Here is a 22,326-nt window from a genome sequence, read left to right as displayed (position 1 = left end):
TGGAACATGAGGGTGCCTCTGTCCGCAGGCCCTGCTTGCTAGGGTCACTGTGGGTAGGGTCGTCTGCTACTCGTAGCTGAAAACTCTCCTGGCAGGCTTCACAAGGGACAGCCTGACCTCACCCCCTCCCTCATGCCCTGGAGTGGCAGCTGTATCCTCACTGCCCTGGTGGCACCTGATGCCCCTTGTAGTGTTGAGTTGGGTGAGGGGGCGGATTCTGTGTATCCCGTTCTGGTGGCACCAGACCCAGGCAGCAGACCTGGGTGTCTGTCCAGGCTCCACCTCTCCTGGCCGTGTGGCATAGGCAGGTCACTGAACCTCACGCCATCATCCCCGAATCAGGAGAGCGTGGTCTGTGGCACAGATGTGTGAGTGTGGCAGATCATCAGGTGTGCCAGAAGCAAGTGACAGGCCGGCATCCGGCCCTGGCTCGGTGTCCGCATCCCTTTCAGGCTCTGCAAGCAGCCTCTGCCCACCTGGAGAGCTGACAGGATCAGGCAGCACCAAGGGTCTTAGGAACAGAAACGCTGGTGATCAACAGCTGCCATAGGTCAGCGAGGGTCCCCCATCCACAGACAGGTTCATCACCAGGCACAGGAAGTGCAGCAGGGAGAATCCAGAAGATGCTGTATGTTTAGTAAACAGTGGGGTGGAGGTCGCTGAGCTCAGAGGGACAGACCCAACGGCATTTTCAGCCTTGCCCTGTTTCATTCACCCCAGCTGCCCTTGATGCTGTTGTTCCTCTTTTATCTGTTCCTTCTTGCTTATTAAAGATCTTCTTGTCCCTAGAATTCAGAGGTCCCATCTCTCCAGCTTCTCTTTCCCTATCCCTCAGCCTCTTTCCTGGGGGCCTCATACCCTGACTGTTGTTTGATGCTATTTATTGTTCCCTGGTCCCGTCACCGGCCCCATCTGTCCCAGCTTCCTCTCCCCTCCCTTCCATTTCCGTGTCCTCCTGTCTCCTTCCCTTCCTTCTCCTTTTCTCACTTCTCTCCCCACCCCCTTCCACCTCACTCTGCATTCTCCCTGCTAAGCTCATAGCTGCCGGATGAGTGTGTGAGTGTGTGTGTGTGTGTGTGTGTGTGTGTGTGCAGGTGCAGCTGGATGAATTGACCTGAGGAGGAGGTGGGGTGGCGGGCAGGAGTGCTCTTCAGAGCAGTTGACCTTGCTGCCATTTGGAGATGGATTGGAGGAGCCAGGCTGAGGGGAGTGGCCCAGGTTGCAGCTGATTTCAGCGTCCAGGAGAGAAAGCGCACAGTCAGGGGATGGATGTGAGAAGGTGTCTTCCGCAACTGTGCAGGGGTAGAACCCACGCCCTCAATGACCCACAGGCAGGTGATGGGGATAGGGGCAGGCAATAGTCAAGCATGGCCCCTGGGGTCTGCAGAGGAGGAGCAGAAGACTGGGGAGAGGGTAAGAGCTCACTTCGGGACACATTGGAGTGAGGCTCCGATGGGGCGCCTGGAGGTGCAGGAGTTGGGGTTCACTGGAGGCCAGGACAGGTCTTGAGCTGGAGTTAACCTGAGTCATTCTCAAATGCACACAGAAGGCCTACTGCCTGCCAAGCACTGTGCTGGCTATACCAGCTACACCACTGCACATGGGGGCAGTCAAGACCATAGGAATGAGAGTGAGGGGTGGCCCCTGGGCACCCACATCAAAAGGCTGATAAGGAAGATGTAGCTATGTGTGTGTGTGTGCACAAATGCACATACACACACACACACACACACACACACACACTGCACCAAAGTCCTTCATCTAAAGCTTCCAGTCAGATTCAGAATAAAGTGGCACCCTCCCCTGTGGCCTCCAAGGCCTGTGATGTGGCCCACACTCCTGTTCACCTTGAGCCGTGGGCTGCCTTGCTGTTTCAGTCCCCTCCCAGACCCTGGCCCTGCTGTCCCTCTGTCCGCAGCACTACCACCCTGGCAGCGATGGTGCTCACTCCCCCACACTATTAGCATCTCTGACTTAGACTGTCTTCTCCGAGGGGCCTTTCCTGACCTCGTCATTGTGAATATGGCCCTATGTGATGCCCTCCATCCCCGGACTCTTGAGTTTTCCCCACACTACCTGAAATTGCGCTAACTGCAGATGTTAGTCCATTGTGGACTGCTGTAAAGGAATATCTGAGACTGGGTAATTTAAAAAGAAAAGAGGCTTATTTGGTTCACAGTTCTGCAGGCTGTACCAGCATGACACCAGCATCTACTCAGGTTTGGTGAGGCCTCAGGAAGCTTTTACTCATGGTAGAAGGCAAAGGGCGAACAGATGTGTTACATGGCGAGAGAGGGAGCAAGAAAAAGAGGGGGAAGTGCCAGGCAATTTTTTTTTCTTTTTTTTTTTAATTGAGACAGAGTCTCGTTCTGTCGCCCAGGCTAGAATGCAGCGGCGGGATCTCGGCTCACTGCAAGCTCCGCCTCCCGGGTTCACGCCATTCTCCTGCCTCAGCCTCTGGAGTAGCTGGGTCTACAGGTGCCCACCACCACGCCTGGCTAATTTTTTGTATTTTTAGTAGAGACGGGGTTTCACCATAGCCAGGATGGTCTTGATCTCCTGCCCTCGTGATTCGCCCGCCTCGGCCTCCCAAAGTGCTGGGATTACAGGCATGAGCCACAGTACCCGGCCTCAGGCTCTTTTAAACAATCAGCTCTGGCATCTCGCTACCACTCATGGCCAAGGGGCAGGGCTGACCCATTCATGAGGGATCCACCCCCATGACTCAACACCTCCAGCTAAGCCCACTTCCAACACTGGGGGTCACATTTCAACATGAGATTAGGAGGGGACACACATCCAAGCCACAGCACCGTTTGTTTGTTTGTTTGTTTGCTCCCTGTCTCCTCCATTGAACGCATCTTTCCCAGCACAGGGACATGATCTATTCAAAGCAGGATCACCAGTGTTTGGTGCCTAACAAAGGCTCAAAACATACTTGTAGAGTGACTGAATGAGGGACCAAGGGACGGGGAAGGTAGGACATGTCGGGGCATCTGTGGATCCCAAGGCAGGACTGGATTTCACAAGAAAGAGAGTGTCATTCTGCCAAATTCATTTCAGATGGACGAAGTCTGTAAAAGGAAAAAACAAAGCTATTAACACCACAATAGCAAAAGAGAGGAGCATATTTTCATGATCTCGGAGGAGGGAAGACCTTCCTAAGCAAGACACGAAATCCAGAAGCTATAAAACAAAAGCCTGACAGATTTGACTACATAAAAATAAAGCTTCTGGCAGGGCGTGGTGGCTCATGCCCATAATCCCAGCACTTTGGGAGGCCAAGGCAGGCGGATCACTTGAGCTCTGAAGTTTGAGACCAGCCTGGGCAATATGGCAAAACTCTGTCTCTACCAAGAATACAAAAAAAAATCAGTCGGGCGGGGTGGTGTGTGCCTGTGATCTCAGCTACTTGGGAGGCTGAGATGGGAAGATGGCTTGAGTCCAGGAGGCGGAAGTTGCAGTGAGCCAAGATCGTGCCAATGCACTCCAGCCTAGGTGACAGAGTAAGACCCCATCTCAAAAAAAATAAAATACTTACAATCCAGCACTTTGGGAGGGCTGAGGCGGGTGGATCGCCTGAGGTTGGGAGTTCAAAACCAGCCTGACCAACATGGAGAAACACCGTCTCTACTAAAAATACAAAATTAGTCGGGCGTGGTGGCGGATGCCTGTAATCCCAGCTACTCGGGAGGCTGAAGCAGGAGAATCGCTTGAACCCAGGAGGTGGAGGTTGCGGTAAACCGTGATCGTGCCATTGCACTCCAGCCTGGGCAACAAGAATGAAACTCGGTTTCAAAAAAATAAGTAAATAAAATAAAATAAATAAAAAGCTTCTGCATAGCCAAATACATGATAAACCAAGTTAAAAGATATCTGATGGACTGGGAGAAAAGACTGAAACCATGTACCACAGACAACAGATTAATATCATAACATATAATGGGGTTCTATAAGCCAGTAAGTAGAAACTCACATAACCCGGTAGAAAAAAACGGGTAAAGGAAAGAAACCGGTAGCTTGTAGGGTAAGAAATTCTCACAGCCAGCGAATGGCTGAATAGATGCTTAACCTCTCCAGTCACCTGGGAAATCAAAATAAAACAGCAAGAATACACTGGGGGCAAAATTTAAAGGAATAGGTAGTGCTGCACTGGCAAGGATGTGGGGCTCCCGGGATCTCCTATACTGAGACGGGGTGTGGTCCCCGTGGAGGCTGGGAGGCAGCTGGGCCAGCTTAGTGATATTCAAAAATGCACACTCCTTGGGACCCAGAAATTTCACTTTTAGGATGTTCAGTGCCTCAGGGTTTGCACGAGCAAAGGAAGAAAGTGGAGCCAACTAATTGCTCGTCAACAGAGAGGAGGTTGCACAACAGAAAACTATGCAGCTAACACAAAGGCTGCCCCGCTGGCATTGAGAAATGCTTCCAACTCAGCCAGTGAAAATAACAGCAAGATGCATGACAGCATGGGCAGCATGGGCTGGTTAATCCTGCGTGTGCAGTCACACGGACATATACATGCACCTGCATATGTAACTGTGTGCAGTCATAGATATTTCTGGAGTGAAATGTACAACTGTCAATGGTAGGTAGCTCTGAGCAGTGGAATGGAACTGAAGGAGTGATTTCCATCTTTATTGTTTCACTATTGCAGAATTTAAGCAACTAAAATGTATTACTATTATAACGTTTTAATAATGAAAAAATAACAGCACTAAAGAAGGGTGTGGCTGGGGTGTGGAGGGCTGTCAGGTCAAGGCAGGAGAGGCCTGAAGATTGTGCACCAGGTTGAACCCTCAGGAGCCTGCAGGGAGGCTGCTGGGCAGGGGCATGGTGGGTGGGAACTGGGCCACAGAATCCCCAAGGGGGCCAGCCCGCTCCCAGGCCACCCCACAACTCTGTGAGGCAGGCTCCTATGTCTCCACTCTTCTGCTATGTAGAGAGATGCAACCCAAAGTCTCTTCGGCAGGGTGGAAGGTACAGAGCCAGGGCCCACCATGCCAGGCACACTCTGACCCTCTCCCGGTGCGGTCAGACGCTTGGGACCTGGCAATGTGAGGTGGCAGAGCTTTCACTGAGGCAGCACCCTCTCAGCTCAGCAGTCCTGAGTGGGGTGTGGTTCCAGTGCAGCCTCCTCCGGCCCCTGGGAATTTCAGGCTCCCCTTCCCGTGAGACAAGGGCCGTCTCCTTATGGCGGCCTCCACCAGTCCTGGACATGTGGCTATAGCAATGGGTGAGGCCTCTGGGCAGATGTCAAGCCAATGGATGACTTTGGACATCTGCACTTTGGAGGAGAGAAGCCTAGCTGGAGACAGACTCTTGGATGGGACTTGGAGCCAAGAGCAGGTGACGACACCGGGGAGGGTGTGTTGAGAGGAATGACAGCCCAGCACAGAGTTCTGGGCTCCCCCATGAAAGCATAACCCAGGAATCATGGTCTCTGAAGTCCTGAGCTCTAAGGGGCAAAGACTCAGGAGGGCAGAGACTTGCCCAAGGCCACCCAGATAGCACCTCGGTCTGCCTGGCTTCCTAACTTGCTAACCTCCACCAGTCACTCTCCTTGGTGTTTCTATTTCAGACTTTACATCTCATCTTTGTTTTATTTTCTTTTACTGCCCTCCTCCATAACAGCTAATTTGGTGATTTAAGACAGCAGCACTGTTTTGTCTTTATTTCTGCCTCTAACCTTGGTCCTTGGGGTCAGAGGCTGATTGGCTGGAGGTTTGAAAGGTTGGAAGGAAATTGGGAACAACTGCTAGAGGGCAGAAACTGAGGAGACACAGCCGGGGACAGTGGGCAGACCAGTGCCCCGCGGTCCGCTCCTTGGGTGGGTGCTGACCAGGGGTTGGAGCACGGGGCAGCCCTGTCTGCTCACACAGCTGAGGATGGGGCTCCAGTATAGAGAAGGAGGCACACACACCAGAGCTGCAAGAGAAGCCATGGCTACTGCCTGCTGGACACTTGCTTCTCCTCATTTTGCCTACATAGCCCCACAAGATGGGCACCAGGGCTCTCTTGCCATCTGCATAGGGGTTAAGGGCACAGACAGCCAGGAAGGGGTAAGGCCAGGCCTGTCTGACCTTGAGTCTCAGCCTTATAACCACCAGTCAGTAGTGGCCCCAATATTAGGCTCGTGTCTGCATGCACATTTTTCTACAGGTTTTCACTTAGGTCTTACAGCGATCCTATGAGTTGGGTATTTTGGGCTCCATTTTGCAGACAATGAAACAGAGGCCCAGGAAGGTCAATTAAGGTCACCCAGCCAGTAGGCTCCAGAGCTTGCATTCTGACCCAGACCGTGGTCCTGCCTCTTTGCGTCTAGCCCAGTCCACCTGCCTGGGGAGGGGTGCAGGGAAACGAGCAATGCCCGGCCAGTCTCTCTTCCTGATGGTGCCCATGCTTTTTCCTTTTCCATTTCTTTTTCTCCAAACCTCAGTTTTCTTATCTATAAAATGGGGGATAAGCTGCCTTCATTCTAGGGTTATCGTGAAGATGAATACCAACGATGTATATAAATTTCTGGGCTTGCTGGCCAACAGGTGGCTGATAAGCATGGTTAGGAATATTTCTAAGGAGACTGGTTGTCGGGATTTTTTATGCAATGGCTTTAGGCAGAGCACCTAACCCTAGCTCTTGGTCATACGATTCGGGGGAAAGCATGAATGGCACATCCTAAGGGCAGGGACAAAGGGCAGGGAGTGACTGGAGCCACCAGTGTCTGCAGGTGTGTCTGCAGCCTACGGGGGGCCTCTCCAGGGCAGGGCCTTGGCTTATTGGCCTCTGTCAGCAGTCATGCACAGGAGGTATGTAATGCAATCTTGATGAATAGGTGAATCGTTGTCCATGAGTCCCTAAACACAGACCTGCTTCCTCTCTCTCCTCTCCCTCGTCCATGTGTGTGCATGCTCGCTCACACACGTGTGCACACACAAGCACACTGGCTCACTCACCTGGCTGGAGTCTTATTGCACGTCTGGGGCTGCCCTGGGAGAGTCAGGTGATGTCACCGTCTGCAGCAACTACCCAGCCCACAGGGGCTCTGAGTGAAGCACAGGGCAGATGTTCATCAACTGTTTGCAGAACTGCCACCTTGGGCCACAGAACAGGGTTCTAATGGCACTTGTCCTCTCACCATCACTCCTAAGTTTCTGCTCAAGTGTGGGGAACTGCGAGTTGTCTGCCTTTGTGTTTTCCCCAGTGATCTGTACAGAAAATGCTCAGGACTCGCTAACTGGATGGATGCATGAAAGAATGAAGTGGATCCAGTTGGGTAACTGACATGAATGAATTCTACGTAAGATGAAAATGGTAAGCCACGTGAACCAGTTAGAACACAAGCTCACTATTGCTGTAAAATACAGGCTTGCTATAAAAATGACAAAGTAACTGTCATGAAACCAGATCAGAGTCTACTGGCCCCTCACACGGCAGGCTGAATGGAAGCATGATGGGCTTATGTGGCATCACCATGGCACCGTGGACACAGGCTCTGCTGATCACAAGAGCCAGCTTTCACCACTCAATCTAAGGTGACTGCTCCCCCTCCTGCCTTCACGCCCACATTCCTGCCAGCGGGAAGTGGGAAGGGGAAGTGGAAGGCACTCCTTTTTCTTTTGAAAACATGGCCCAGAAGTTGCTGCTGTTCAAATCTGACCAATCAGACTTATTCCGTGGGCCACACCTTGCTGTCAAGGAGGCTGGAGAAAGCGGTCTTTAGCCGGGAGGTCCTGTGCCCAGCTTAAACTCAGAAGGGCATTTAATAAAGCAAGAAGGAGAGACTAGACATTGAGGGCATCTTGTTCACTGTGCCCCACCTCATTTTGAAAGATGGAACAGCCTGTGCATTGGCAGTGTGTAATGGGGTAGAGGCATCATGCCAGTGTGACTCTGAGTGAGGGGAAATGGCAGGAGAGGCAAAGAGGGGCATTGGCATTGGTGTGAACAGACTGAGGGGTTCAGGGGTGTGTGGAGTCTCCCAGAGGTAAGGTGGAGAGCCCCTGAGCCCTCTGAGAGGCACAAAGAAAAGAAGAAGGCTGCACAACAGCTGGCCTGTGGCCTGCCCCATGCCAGCCTGTGTTTTAACCCAGCCACACAGACAGAGGGCACGAATGGGTGGCACCAGACTGGAAGCTTCATGCACAGCAGATGTGCTTCATGGAGCCCCTGCCACGGCAGCTGCACCGTGTGTTGCCAGCAAATCTGAATGAGCTATCAGCATGTACAAAACTAGGAGTTTCCCAGTTTCCCTTAAAATACCAGCGACTCAGGCAAGGCCAGTCTGACTCTCTTCAGGGTGAGAGTTGGTGGCCCTGGGCAGTGGCTGAGGGCCCTGGCTCTCCAGTCCCTACCACTCCCTACTGGCCCGCTTTCCTCCTGTAGCCCCTGTCTGCCTGTCCAGATGGGAGTGGGCCACCTTCTCCATGCCACCAAGAGGCCCCACTCAGTCACCCCAGGGTCTTGCAGGACACGTCCATCCCTGGAGAACAAACATTCAGCTCATTCACAGGTACTCAATGCCAGGCCTGTACCCATGAGATGGGTGCTAGCAAAAAGGGTGGAAATCCCTTAGGAAAGGAGAAAGAAGCTTCTCTCTTGTGGAGAAGCAGTGCAGAGGGAGGCAGGCCAAGACAGACGCAGTGGGACCCCCGCTGCACCCTGCTCCAGACGCAGCCCAGGCCTCGTGGTCCACAATGGGCCCCGGCACCAGCCATGCTTTCTACATTCCAAGCAGTGGGTGCAGGTGCCTGCTACCTGTCCTTTAAGGAAATTTCCAGAAGCTCCATGTAGCACTTATGCTCACAGCCAGTGGGTCACTCACATGGCCACACCCAGCCACTAGGGAGACTGGGCGGCCCTGTGCTCCGCGAAACACTAGGCCCGTGTCTCCAGGGCAGCCAGGAGAATGCGTATGGGCAGGACCCTCTGCAGCCTCTGCCTGGGCCTCACAGATTTCTCCCCTTTTCTCCCCACCTCCGACCTCATGAGGTTGTGAAATACACATTCACTGCACAAAAGAGAAACTGTAGCCCAGAGAGGTTTCGTAGTGTGTGAGGCTCAGCCTCTGAGCGGCGGGCATTCATTTCACACTCGCATTTGTCCCTAACACGGGAGCCCCCACACAGCCCTGCTTGGTGCTTCCATGGTATGAACCCCCGCTACCAACACGGTGCTGATCCCAGAGACATCCAGACACCCGACAGTCACCGCTGACCTTTGAGGTTTCCTGCCACTGGATGCAACTGGTATTTTTTCTTCTTATTTGGGCTGGGTCTAGGGTATGATTTAGCACACGCTATGGAAGATGTGACTGAGTATATGTGTGGGATACTGAGGTCTGCCCTGGGAGCCCCAGGCCTGTGGGGACACAGCAGCATCTCTGGAGCGGAGGAAGAGAGAGGCTGACACAAGGCTCTCCCCCTGGGGCGGAAGAGCTGCCCCAGAAGCTGAGAAACCTCCACAAAACAAAAACAGTTTGATTCCATCCAGCAACTGGTGACTTATTAGCTGCATTGTTTTCAACATCACCCCTGGCCTGAGCTCAAATGTGGCTTTATTTTGCAAGCGGCTTTGTGTGTGGAGACACATCCGGGGTTGATAATGTTGCAGACTGGGATATTTTGGTTCTTTATTGAAAGGGAAGATCTTACTGCCACCGGGCCCCGCCTCACCCTCCAGATTGGAAACTATGTGACCCTTACGATGGGGTCCCAGCTGGACACCTCGAGCCAGATTTCCAAGCTGAAAGGAACACTGGGCCTCCGGGGCCAAACACATGCTCTGCACAGCTGGTCCCGGTGTTTTGTCCTGTCCGTTAAAAACAAAGCTTACACTGAGCAAAGACTTGCTTTCAAATCAAATATTTGTTGGCACACACATGTGTCCTGTTGGTTAGGAAACATATTTTTTTTGCTTTAAAATTAGATTTCCCTGGAAAGAACAATGGCAAAATCAAAAGAGACAAGTGTTTGGTGGGGCAGAGAGAACAAAATCTTTTGCCCAAAAAGTCTTACGGTTTGGTGAGCGCCAAGCTGTTGGCGGTGCCTGCTTCCTTGGCTGGTGTCACAGGATGGGGTTTGCATTTGTCGAGAACAGCAAAGCTGCCACCTGGGTCCCACGGTGGGGCCCTGGTGCAAGGCATACTGGAAGCTGCGTCGGAGGCAGTGTCTCAGCTCTGGCCAGCCTCTGTTCCTCCCGCCTGGCTGTGGCGCTGCCTGAGGGTGCCCCGAGGGCTGGGAATCGCTGGAATGATCCTGGATGTGAGGGTTCTTAGACTGCTCCCCCCACACAGCCGAGGACTCTGCCACACTGCTGCCCTGAGGAGGGCCAGCACCTCCACGCAACCCCGCTGCTCTGGCCATAGCTGGGGAGGCCAGCCTCAAAGATTTGACCCAGGGTAGTTGTCAGTAGCCTGGCTCGAGTGTGGCACAGCGCCCAGGGTCTGTCCAGCCAAACAGATGCTGTCTCTTGGGGCTTTGGGCAGCAAAATACACAGAGAAGGATCCAGAGAGCAGAGAGACTCACAGAGAGCTGGCAGTGAGCAGTGGCCGGGGAGCAGCAGGAGCCACGGAGGGCCACACCATCCTGGAAGGGCAGAGGGTGGACCATGTGGAGGGCCAGGGAATGGGAAGGGCAAGGGCCTGAGACAGGCAGTGGAGGCCAGGCACAGGCGACAGCCAGGACTGTGGCCGGGCCTCTGAGCTGCTGCCAGGTGACCAGAGATGCTGTTCCATGGAGAATAGCTCCTGCAGTTGCTTTTTTGCATAGACTGAAATCTAAACTACCTGCTCATACATGCTTGAGGGGACATTTTCAGGACTTGGGCTCTAAGGAAGGGGAGAGATGAGAATAGTCAAAGTGTACTCACAGACAGCTCATTCCTTCTAGAGTTGTAGTCCCTTCCCCACCTCTTCCAGGAAGCCCTCCCTGACCACCTCCCTGCCTACAATCCTCGGCCCTCTCTTTCCATGGGGTGTCCACAGAACTTGTTCCCAAGAGTTCCCAGCCTCCTGCTGTGGCCTAACTCCTCAGCTTCATGTTTTACTCTAATCCCAGCCATGAGCTCCCTACAGGCAGGAATGGTTTCTGGGCATCCCTGGAGCACTGAGCGCAGGACTCAGGATGGCTGAGGCTCAGTGTGCACTCATAGGTGGGATGGAGAGTTGACCTGTACAGCTCATGGGTGGGGGCCTACCTGCAGACCTTGTTCCCTCAAACAGGGAACTCTAGCCCTAATGCCCTCACAGACAGGGACAGGAACTCTCTGTGGCCTCTGCTTTTCACAGAACAAAGAGGGGGAGCCCTGGGCCTCCACCAAACACCACGGCTGTGAGGAGAACAAGACAGGGGCTCCAGCCTCCAGCACACGGCTATGCATTCCTGGGCCAGCCGCCACCCTGCTCCCCAGCCAAGTCAGGTTGTTTTTGCCACCCCACACCCCCAGGGAGCACAGAAATCAAATTCTGATCTTCTTGAAATAAGCATCTGTCCAGTTGCATTGAGCTCAAAGGTTCAGTCCACCAGGAGCACCTGCTTGGTTCTGAGACCTGGCCAGCCCCATAGGGTGGGCATGCAGGGCCCTGCACACCAAAGAACAAAGGACCACAGCCAACAAGCATCCACTGCACCCAATGCTGGGCTCAGCACTGGGCTGGCTCTGGGAGTCAGGGTGCAGGGCGAAGATGGAAGAGACATGAGCCCCACAGACACAGAACAGCCATGAGAGTAATCAGTGACAGAAGCCCAGAGGGGCGGGGCGGGGCGGGGCAAGAAAATGGCATGTGAGCAAGGGGGCAGGTGAGAGGCTTCCAGAAGGGCGGGACTGTGGAGGAATGACACATTCATGCTCCCATCCAAAGGGAGCAGCTTCTATTCAGCAAGAGCTGCTTGACATCTGGCAGGAATTGGCACCTAGGGTGGCCAGGTCTTCTGATTTTTTCTAGAGAAGGCAGAAATGCAGGGTGTGTATGTGTGTTATGTGTGCATGTGTGAGAGAGTGTGTGCATATGTGTGAGAGTGGGGGTGGGGGGTCTCCTGATTTTTCAAATATTGACTGAAGGCTCAGTAAGTTTTGCTGCATCGAGTCCCCGGGCTGCCCCTCCACCCTCTGCAACAGAGACCCACCCAGGGACCAATTGATGCGATTCAGAAGGCGGTGGGTGACTGGGCTGGAGTCTGGAGCCCAGGTTTGTAACAGGCTGGGCCTATTCACTGCATCGAATAGGTCGGCCTCTTCATTCCAGGCACCTGTCATTGGCATCTGGCTTAATTCTCACAAGACGCCTCTGAGATAGGTGTCATGACTTTCCTCTTTCTATGGCTGAAAAGGCTGTGGTTCAGAGAGGTTGAGTCACTTGCACAAGAACACACAGCTTGTAAGCAGCCCCAAGAGACTGTGCTGAGCCTTAAAGGTGTTGGAGAGTGGGGCTCAGAGCAGGGCAGTGATTTGCCTAAAGTTACCCAAAAGCAAGGTACAGGTGGGGCAGCTCCAGGTCTAGGATAGCCAAGCTAGCTGCTCTTTCCCTTGTATCCCCAAAGGTTTCCAACACAATTCCACAACAGCAGATGGGGCTAAATCTTCCCGGCAGGGCACGTGGATGGGTGGAATCCAAGGGTGGTGGTTGGGGTTGGGGGGTAGTTCCCTTTTGTACAGCAAAGCTTTCACAAAGCACATAATCACCTACCAATATATCTTCTTGCTAAGCCTGAACTTTAATCCATCCAGTTTCCGCAGCCCAACCCACCTGCATTGCATTTCTGGCAGGAGGTGGAAGACCTAAGCCAAGGGAATCTCCCTGAGCTCATGGCTTCTGCGGGTAATTAATGACACTTGCAGCCTAAATGTAAACTGTAGCACATCTGTCCAATGTGGCTTGGGTAGATCCGTGCCTTGAGGCAGGGAGCTGGCCTCCATGGCCGCAGGTAACCCTTCCAGCTGGGGACAGCAGCGACCCGGGTGACCTCAGAGCCACTGTTCTGCACCCCCGAAAGAGGATGGACCTTGAGGTCACTGGTGTGGCGGAAGAACTGCGTGTGCCTTTCTTTCTTGTAAAGTACGTGTCAATGCCCCATTCTCCTGCCAATCTTTAGGAAGCGGCACCTTCGAGGTAGGTGGACTGCAGCCTGGCCTCCCTAATCTCCTCGCCTAGCCCCCTTCTCGGCTCTCCCCACCACCCTCCATTCAAACCTGCTCTGAATCAGTTGCAAGGATCTCATAAACGCGTGCCCACACACAGAGGCACAGATCGCTGAGAATGGCTTACAGCATGCCCTGTCAAGGGTTATCTGCATTTCAAAAACTATGGTTACTTTACCCAAAGGAAGGAATCTCAGGCATTGGCAACTATAGATTCTGGGACATTTTCAATTTCTACCTACTTTTTTGCAGTGCCTGTCCTGACAGGCCCCCTTGTCAAAACATTTATTATTATCCTTCTTCATATATCACCAGTTTTCAAAGCTTTTGCATCCATTAAAAAAATACTTCTACCTTTCTAAAAAGAACTTGGGATGAAATCTGGTCTCGCTTTCACTCTTAGGGCCTTGGCACGTCCTTGCCATCATTAGTAGGGCTTCTGCTTGGTGGAGCCCTGGTAAAGAGACACCCTCGGCCAGGCGCGGGGGCTCACGCCTGCAATTCCAGCACTTTCGGAGGCCAAGGCGGGCGCATCACGAGGTCAGGAGATCGAGACCAGCCTGGTTAACACTGTGAAACCCTGTCTATACTAAAAATACAACAAATTAGCCAGGTGTGGTGGCATGTGCCTGTAATCCCAGCTACTTGGGAGGCTGAGGCAGGAGAATCACTTGAACCCGGGAGGTGGAAGTTGCAGTGAGCCAAGATCGGGCCACTACACTCCAGCCTGGGTGACAGAGCAAGACTCCATCTCAAAAAAAAAAAAAAAAAAAAAGAAAAGAAAAATAAAGAGACACCTTCTACTTGGTGGGGGCCAGCTAGCCACAGGAAGGGCCTCCCTGAGCCTTATGGCTGTGTCAGGAAGAAGAAGATCAACAGGCCCCATCTCAGGGCCAATGAAGCCCGCCACTGTCTGTGGACACACAAGCCCATCTGTGGAGGACTTGGGCCATGTTTCAAGCAAATAATGTTTATTAGGTCCCAGGTCAGCCCATAAAAGCTCTTGGAATCCAAAATGTGCTTGAAGCTTAGGATCATTAGTTCTGGTTTTCCAATACTTTGCTCGTTCATTCATTCAATCCCTCATTTGGTCAGCAAATGTTTACCAGGTGCCTACCAGATGTAGGGGTATACAAGTTAGGTTTAGGATGCAGTTATATGACCTGGGCTAGAATGACAGTGGCTCTAACCAGACATAGGCTGGCTCCTTGCTTGTCAAAGCCACAGCTGGTGCATTGCTCAGGCCCCTCTACCTGTTGCTCTGCATTTCTGGAGCGAGCTCCTGTTTGCACGGTCCGCACACCTCACACCTACACTGCTCATGCTCCTGCACCAGCGGGAGGAGGTGAAAGAGGAAAGGCACAGCCAGGCGCCACGCACAGCCTGCTCATTCGGACTCCGTTGGCTGGAACTTGATCACGTGGTCACAACCTGCTGCAAAGGTACTGGGAGCTGTGGTCTTTATTTCGGGTGAACACAGGCCAAGCTAAAAATCAAGAGATCTCTTACTGGGAGAGAGGAGGAGACAATAAATGTTGGGAGACCACTAGTAGGCTCTGAAAAAATTGGTGAATAAAACAGATGTGCTCCTTTGCCATGGATCTCACAGTCCTGAAGGGGGGATGGGGACAGCATGAAATAACAAGTGACCCGAAGAGTCAGTGCTTCCCTCTGTGATGAGGGGTGCCAGGGAAAGTGCAGGGCACTCAGAGAGCAGTGAATAGGGCGTCAGGTCAGGCTTCTTGAAGGAGGGGGCATTAGCCTGCAGGACGACAGGCTGGAGGAAGGGGGGGTACACTGGGGAGGAAGAGGGAATGGCATATGCTAGGATCCTGTGGCAGGCAGGAAGGCGGCTGGCCCTTAGGAGGACTAGGGAGGAGCTGGTGTGGCCGGGGTTCATGGGCGATGAGAGGGGATGAGAGGCAGCACTAGGACAGGCAGGGCCTGTAGCCCAGTGGGGCATCTGGAGACCCCGCCCCGCCATCAGGACACTGGGAAACCTCCCTGATGGAGGGTGGAGATTGGCTGAAGGGGCGACTCAGCTGCATGTGTAATTTTAGATCACTCCACTCTATTGCCTGTCTTCTCTGGAAACAAGGATCCCTGGAGCTCAGTAAAGGTTACAGGGGTAAAGCAGGGGAAGTGGTCCCACCTGCCCTGGAGGCAGAAGCATGGACAGAGAGCTTTGCTGGCTCTACCACACGCTAGACATCTTGTGCCTAATTAGAATCCCAGAATGCTGGCGTGGAGAAGACAGACAAAAGCATCCAGTCCTGCTCCTTTGTGTACAGATGAAGAGGCTGGGCCTAGAGAGGGAGAGGGGCCCACCTGGGTCCCCCAGCAGGGTGGTGGTGGTGCTGGAAACAAGATGGACTCTTTCTGACTCCCTTGGTGGTGGTAATGGTGGGTGGCAGGACCTGGGCTGGGGTCACTGGGTCAAACTAGTGTCACCTGGCCCCTGGGAGCTACCTATCTGAAGCAGCTCCAGAAACTTAAATTTGCTAATTAATTTATAATTCCAGCCCTAAGCCATAAAATCAAACCACACACTGAGCTGTCCACAGTTGCCTGACAGCTGGCCTGTCTGATCCTGGCTGTCTGCTCACAAATTGGTATTAGTGGCACCAAGAGCAGATTAACATGGTGACCAGGCACCCAGAAACTTGATGCCACCCGCTGGGCTCACTAAAGCTGTCAGTCTCCCCAGCTGCTAAGCTGCCCAGGCACCCATGTCTCCCCAAGCTTGGGTTGCAGAGCAGTCCTGGGCCCAGCAAGGAGTAGGACCTTTCTCAGCCATCAAGTGATGCCACTGGTCAAATATAAGTTACAGGAGAGAAAAGCAGGGAGGCATTGCCAGGAAAGCAGTATTCAAATTTCAGAGTTTGCACAGGGCTTGAGAATCAGTGGGGACCATGGGCATTCATCATCCTAGCCAAAGCCCACACTGCAGAGCCAGAGAACTGAGCCCAGAGAGGAAAGAGCTGCGGTGGTGTCATCCGGTACAGGACTATAGCTCGGGCTCCCTCCCCGACAACCTAATGCTCTACCTGTTCCTCTGAGTGAGAATGCCGCTTTCCCATCATCTCTGCCAACCTGCGTTTTTCTTTTATGTATTTGTTCACCTCATCAACTCCTACCTCCTGAGCACCTACTACTGTGCCAGACACTGTACAAGGCCCTAGGATACAGGAAGCAATCATTGTGGGAAGAACTAGAAATATGAAGAGTCATTCTTGAGGTTAGTATGATATACATTAGTGAACAAAGGAAGGGAGGGCGGGAAAACATCCCAGACAGGATGAGCCACGACATGGGTTGCATTAGATAGGGTTGGAAAACACCACGGTACAGTGGTGTAAGCAAGGCATTTTCCCTCCTGTAAAATTCCAGGGCCAATATGATCACTCTGACCTGCAAAAGCCTTGGACACCCATGCTCCTTCTACCCACTACGTCTCTGGTCCTCATGGGTCAAGATGGTAACCAGGGCTCTAGCCATCAGGTCCGCACTCCAGGCAGCAGGATGAGAAGGACAAAGAAGAAGTGGGAAAATATATGTTCCCAGAAACACTTGTATAAGAACACTTAATGTCAAGAACTATAAAGGGTCTGAAATTTTACTCAACTTGAAAGGTAATGAGTTAGGCTCTTGAGAGGCTGGCAGAAGATGCCAGAACCATGAGTCAGAGACAAAGGATGTTATTCCTCACAGCACAGCAAACAGCATGTGTATCAGCATATTTGCGTCAGTTCCTTTTGCCCCAAGTCCCACAGAACAATGTGAGTGGGCCCAGATGGATCCTGTACTTGCAGTGAATTGCATTACAGGAGAGGAACCCTGAGCTTAGGGAACCTGGATCTTTTACAATGGGAAGCAAGCGTGCTTGCCCTTTGCTCCAGAGGGAGACGCTTGATCTTCCAAAGCTGTCTGCAATACAAACACCCATGAAAAGATAGGTCAATCAGTGCCTTACTCATAAGATGTGTAGAAATGCGAGAGACTCATGGGGAATTGTCTCCCAATATACAGCAGCTTTATTCATAATAGCTCCAAACTGGAAAGAGCCCAGACGTTCATCAACAGGAGAAGAGATATATTTATGCAATGGACCATATTTGTGCAATAGCCATCTTAATGGGTGTGAAATGGTATCTCATTGTGGTTTTGATTTGCGTTTCCCTAAAGATGGGTGATGGGTGTCTTTTCACGTGCTTGCTGGCCATTTGTATATCTTCTTTGGAGAAATGCCTAAGTCCTTTGCCCCATTTTTTAATCAGGTTGTGTTGTTGTGTTAATTATAGAAGGTTTTAACCAGGGTGGTAACTTAGATTTACGTGTTTGGAAGATTCCTGTGGTGCCCTATCTGGAGTGTGAATTGAAGGCAAGAGTGAGAGTAGCATGATCAGGGCGGAAGCCGCTGCAATGATCCAAAGATGATTGATAGTCTTCACCAAAAGAGAACCACAGAAATGGAAAGGAAGGGATTGGGGAGAGAGGCATTAAGGAGCAAGAATGGGCAGGCTTGATGAGCGCATGGCAAGGGTGGGGAGAGAGGGGAAAAGTCAGGGCTGTCCAGGCAGTTGACTGACGACCAAGTACATCACCATAGAGAGGGCATCCTATAGGAAAAATTTGCAAACCCTCCTCTGGTAACCCCTGTCCCCATGAACTCCTACAGAAGCAGCTGCACGGGACCAGCATCTTCAACTTTTCCTGTTTGGTGATTTTGCTAAAATATCTCACCTAGCTCTGAGCACTCCCTGTTCACCTACCTCTCCCTCCCATCCCTCCATCACGTCTGGACACCTGATGCCCCTTATCTCTTGGCCCCAGTGCACGTGGGTTATCCAAATCTTCAGTTCCAGGCTCATGTCTGTCCTCACAGATTGACAACCTTCAGAAATGTCTCCAGCTTTTGGACCCTGGCTCCCTGGACTGCTCTTGACTTTGCCTGCTGCCCAGGTTTGGGGTCTACTTGCGTAGTGGGTATCGATTGGGGTGGGTGTCCAGCTGATGGGAGTGTGTCCAGTATGTGACCTGCCCCTAGCCACTGCCAATTAGCCCAGGATGGGGCCACTTGAACCAGGCTGAGCCAAGCAGAAGCCTTTACAATTCCCCATGCACAGACTGTCCCCAGACCAAGAGAAGCCAGAGACTCCGGTGTCCAGCTGGAACTAGAGCCGGCACCCCCAGTGCCAGCCCTGGCCACCTCTGCCTTGTCTCCATCCCTCCCGCTTTGCTCCACACACCCCCCTCCCTGGCCTCCTTATGCTGCAGCCTCAAGACCATTGCCTCTTCCTGGAAGTCTCTCTCACCTCCCTCAGGTCTCTGCTCAGGTGTCACCTCCTTCGAGGGGCCATTCCTGTCGCCCTGCTGGCTTCTCCTGGAGGTGCTCTCGCTGGTGTCCTAAGAGGCCAAAATCTCTTGTTTTGTTCCCTGTGGAACCGTCTGAGTCTAGAAGAGTGCAGGTGCACAGTGGGTCCTGTTACATTTCTGGAATTCAGGGAGAATGAGTAAGGATGGTGCAGTAGTAGCGAGACTCACAGAACTCTGCCTGCAGGGGCCATTTTCCCCAGCGAAGAGAGCTGCCCAGTGAAATAACAGAGGCCTGGGGCTCACACCTTAATGGTGAAGGGCTTAGTCTGGGCCAGGTGACGATCTTCACCTCTCTGCCTCGGTTTCTTCAGCTGAACAATAGGAATAATCACCTGCCTCTTAGTGCGATTTTGAGGATTAAATGCAGGAATGCGAGTAGGCTTTGGACTTCAGTCAAGGCTCAGTAGCATAATAATGGGTCAGGAGCACGCAAGCTCCAATTAGAAGCACTTAGGGAATCGTATTATTCTCCCAATACCTGATTTATGTAATAACAGAACTCCTGCTATCACCAGCTAGGCACGGTGGACCAGAGAGGGCCAGAGGCGACCCCAGGCTTGCAGCCGACTTGCCAGCCCGGGCCGCAGGTCGGGACCGGCGCCGGCTACCCCTCCGAGGGCGGCCGAGGGCGCGGCCCGGCCCGCGGGGCGGCTTTGTGCGTCGCCTGATTTCCATTTCCCCAGATAAACACGCGGCGGGGGCCGCGACCTCGCTGCCTAGCAAATGCCTCGGCTCCCCGCCCCGCGTGGGGCCCGCGAATGAGATGATTTACTCCTGTTTTGCATATTAATTGACCTAAATGCCACCCGTTCTGGGAACAATTAAGAGGCCCTTTGGCGCCCGGGGCCACGGGCTGGCGGCGGCGAAGTGGCGGGCGCCCCCTCGGGGCCGCGGGCCGGGCCGGGGCAGGGGGATCCGGGGACGCGCGGCCCCCACCTCCGCCGGCCGCGGGCACAAAGCGGCCTTTGTGCGGGCGCCGGGCAGGGCGTTTCCGCGCAGACAAAGCCCCCGCGCCCTGCCCTCCCACCCTGCCTCCAGGCGCCTGAAGCCTCGCAGAGGACAGGCCTTCATGCCCTTCCCTCCCCAGCCCCGCGACGTGGGGTGCCGCTTTGATCTTCGCTCTTCCCCGGAGGCTGAGTGGCTCAGTGGCTCACAGGTGGGATCCGCCTCCTACCCGGTCACGGCCGTGCCCTTGCCCTTGGCAGTGCGGGCGGCGCGGGGACAGCGTGCCTCGATCCAGGCCTCTCAGCCGACCTGAGCCGGAGCCACGGAGCTGGGGATGCCCGCGCAGCTCTGCGCCGTCACCCTGTGTCCAGGCGCACTGTAGAAGGGGGCCGACAGGAAGAGGCGCTGCGCCAGAACTGTTCCTTCCAAAGCACACCTGCTTCGTGCCTTCCTTGGGTTTCCACCGTAGGAAACTGGCACCACCTCCTACCCCCTGCTGGGGCTGGAAACAGCGCCACCCCGCTTGACTCTTTCCTGTTGCCTATGGCTCTCACCCCACTCCTTCCCGCATTTCCGCAAGTCCTGTGGGTTCCAGAATACCCCATGTCCTCTCTCCATTTGCACTACCTCTGCGCCTGTCACCAGCACAAGGGCTCCAACTCTCCCCAGTGGCCACTCCGGCCCTGTGGTTTCCCATGCGGGTGCTACTGGCAGGCTTTCAGGGGGTAAATCAGACCCAGCTGCTTCATCGCCCCACCCCCCACGCCAGCCCTTCAAAGGTTTCCCTTTGCACTCAGAAATCTACTCCTCTTTCCATGGGCCCGGGGACCCCGTGGGAGTCAGCATTCCTGCTGTCCCTTGGCCTCTAGGAGCTTATTCCAGACCTCTTTTAGGAGAGCATATTTAAGAGGAAACCTGAAGGATGAGGAGGGAACTGGCCAGCTAAGGAGTCAGGGGAACAGTGTCTCAGGCAGAGGGAACAGTGAGTGCAAGGGCCCTGAGGCCAAAAAAAAGCCCTTGGCTGGTTCTAGGATGGCCCAAGGGCTGCGTGGCTTGGAGTACAAGGGAGCACAGAGTGAGAGCAAAGGATCACCCAGGTGGGCAGGGGCCCAGCCTCTCGGGTAAGGGGTGGGCAGGGGCCGGGCCTCTCAGGTAGGGTGCTTGGGTTTTAAGCAGGAGGGTGACTGGATCTGGTCTACGTGTTCATGAGCAGTTACCTCTCTATGTGAGCATCTTGGGGTGTTTCCTCACCTCCTCCTCCAACAGCTAGGCTCCCCTGCACACCCCAACACACACACACACACACACACACACACACACACACACACACACACACATCATCTGTCCTCAAGCCCTGTGGGCTGTGGATTCAAGTCCCAAATTCCCTCCAGCCAGGCCTCTCCCTCGCATTCCCTCTGCCACGACTTCTCGCCTGGGTGACAACAGCAGCCCAGGAACTGCCCCACCCTGCCACAGCTGCAGCCTCATCCCCTCACCCCCTACCCTAGGGCTCTGGGCCCACCAGCCACTGCTCCCATTACCTGCCTGTTCACTGGGTCCTGTTGGCTCCTCAGGACTCCCAGACCATATGTCCCATCCTCAGGCCTTTAAAGGGCAGTGGCTCAGCTGCTTGGTCCATGAAGGAATAAGGGTCTAGTGCTGCCAGATTGGTATACGTTTTCAGGGGAGGCCCGAAATCCAGATTTTGATGTGAAAACTCCCTTGTAAAATATCAGACCAAAATAAAAACTATTTTAACACTGGTAGAACCAGACAAATGACATGTAGTGAGAGTTGGGTTGTTTGCATCTCCCCTGCCGCCCCCAGCCTGCATATCTCATGTTGAAAATTGATCCCCAGTGAAAGGTATTTGGGTCACGGGGGCAGATCTCTTATGAATAGATTAATGCCCTCCCTCTCAGAAGATTGGGGGATGGCAGCCGGGGGAGCAGTGTGAGTTCTCATTCTATTAGCTTCTGTGAGAGCTGGTTGTTCAAAAGGGTCCAGCAAGCACCTCCCTCCCCCATCTTTCTAGCCTCCTCTCTCCCCATGTGATCTCTGCACGCATGGCTCCCCTTCGCCTTCTGCCATGAGTGGAAGCAGCATGAGGCCTTCCCCAGATGCAGATGCCCAATCTTCTAGCCAGTAGAATTGTGAGCCAAAGAAACTCTTTTTTCTTGTAAATTACCCAGCCGCTGGTATTCTTTTTTTTTGAGATGGAGTCTTGCACTGTCACCAGGCTGGAGTGCAGTGGTGCAATCTCGGCTCACTGCAACCTCCACTTCCCGGGTTCAAGAGATTCTCCTCCCTCAGCCTCCCGAGTAGCTGGGACTACAGGCACGTGCCACCATGCCCAGCTAATTTTTGTTTTTTGTTGTTTTTTTTTTTTTTTTTGAAACGGAGTTTCGCTCTGTCTCCCAGGCTGGAGTGCAGTGGCGCAGTCTCGGCTCACTGCAGCCTCTGCCTCCCAGTGGCATCAAGTAATTCTCCTGCCTCAGCCTACCGAGTAGCTGGGACCACAGGCGCGCACCACCACACCCAGCTAATTGTTTGTATTTTTAGTAGAGATGGGGTTTCACCATGTTAGCCATGGTAGTCTTGATCTCCTGACCTCGTGATCTGCCCACCTTGGCCTCCCAAAGTGCTGGGATCACAGGCATGAGCCACCGCGTCCGGCCTCTGGTGTTCTTTTATAGCAATAAAAATGGACTAAGACATGTAGCAAATCTAGACCAGTGCGTGCAATTGGCAGCCACTGCTACAGCATCTAGTAAAGGACCTGATAGTCAATCAATCCATTATTCAGCCCACAGTCCATGAGCTGGGCCTGCTTACTGTCACCAGGCCTTGAGCTGAAGTAAAGGCTCAAT

At 53.3% G+C, this 22,326-nt stretch overlaps 5 annotated features.

The window, feature by feature from the left end:
• Nucleotides 2,554–2,848: an enhancer, noted in NCBI's record as "tiled region #1201; K562 Activating non-DNase unmatched - State 20:ReprD". NCBI's record gives its function as "activates a minimal TATA promoter and a strong SV40 promoter by Sharpr-MPRA in K562 cells {active_cell/tissue: K562}" and the evidence as "EXISTENCE:reporter gene assay evidence [ECO:0000049][PMID:27701403]".
• Nucleotides 8,328–8,828: an enhancer, noted in NCBI's record as "H3K4me1 hESC enhancer chr2:121355589-121356089 (GRCh37/hg19 assembly coordinates)". NCBI's record gives its function as "activates a minimal SCP1, AML or CMV promoter by ChIP-STARR-seq in naive H9 embryonic stem cells {active_cell/tissue: H9 hESC(naive)}" and the evidence as "EXISTENCE:reporter gene assay evidence [ECO:0000049][PMID:30033119]".
• Nucleotides 8,829–9,329: an enhancer, noted in NCBI's record as "H3K4me1 hESC enhancer chr2:121355088-121355588 (GRCh37/hg19 assembly coordinates)". NCBI's record gives its function as "activates a minimal SCP1, AML or CMV promoter by ChIP-STARR-seq in primed H9 embryonic stem cells {active_cell/tissue: H9 hESC(primed)}" and the evidence as "EXISTENCE:reporter gene assay evidence [ECO:0000049][PMID:30033119]".
• Nucleotides 11,521–12,029: an enhancer, noted in NCBI's record as "H3K4me1 hESC enhancer chr2:121352388-121352896 (GRCh37/hg19 assembly coordinates)". NCBI's record gives its function as "activates a minimal SCP1, AML or CMV promoter by ChIP-STARR-seq in primed H9 embryonic stem cells {active_cell/tissue: H9 hESC(primed)}" and the evidence as "EXISTENCE:reporter gene assay evidence [ECO:0000049][PMID:30033119]".
• Nucleotides 17,824–18,717: an enhancer, noted in NCBI's record as "NANOG-H3K27ac-H3K4me1 hESC enhancer chr2:121345700-121346593 (GRCh37/hg19 assembly coordinates)". NCBI's record gives its function as "activates a minimal SCP1, AML or CMV promoter by ChIP-STARR-seq in primed H9 embryonic stem cells {active_cell/tissue: H9 hESC(primed)}" and the evidence as "EXISTENCE:reporter gene assay evidence [ECO:0000049][PMID:30033119]".

This window comes from Homo sapiens, chromosome 2 (genome assembly GCF_000001405.40).
Source record: "Homo sapiens chromosome 2, GRCh38.p14 Primary Assembly".
Lineage (NCBI taxonomy): Eukaryota > Metazoa > Chordata > Mammalia > Primates > Hominidae > Homo > Homo sapiens.
This window is presented reverse-complemented; position numbering and strand designations above follow the sequence as displayed.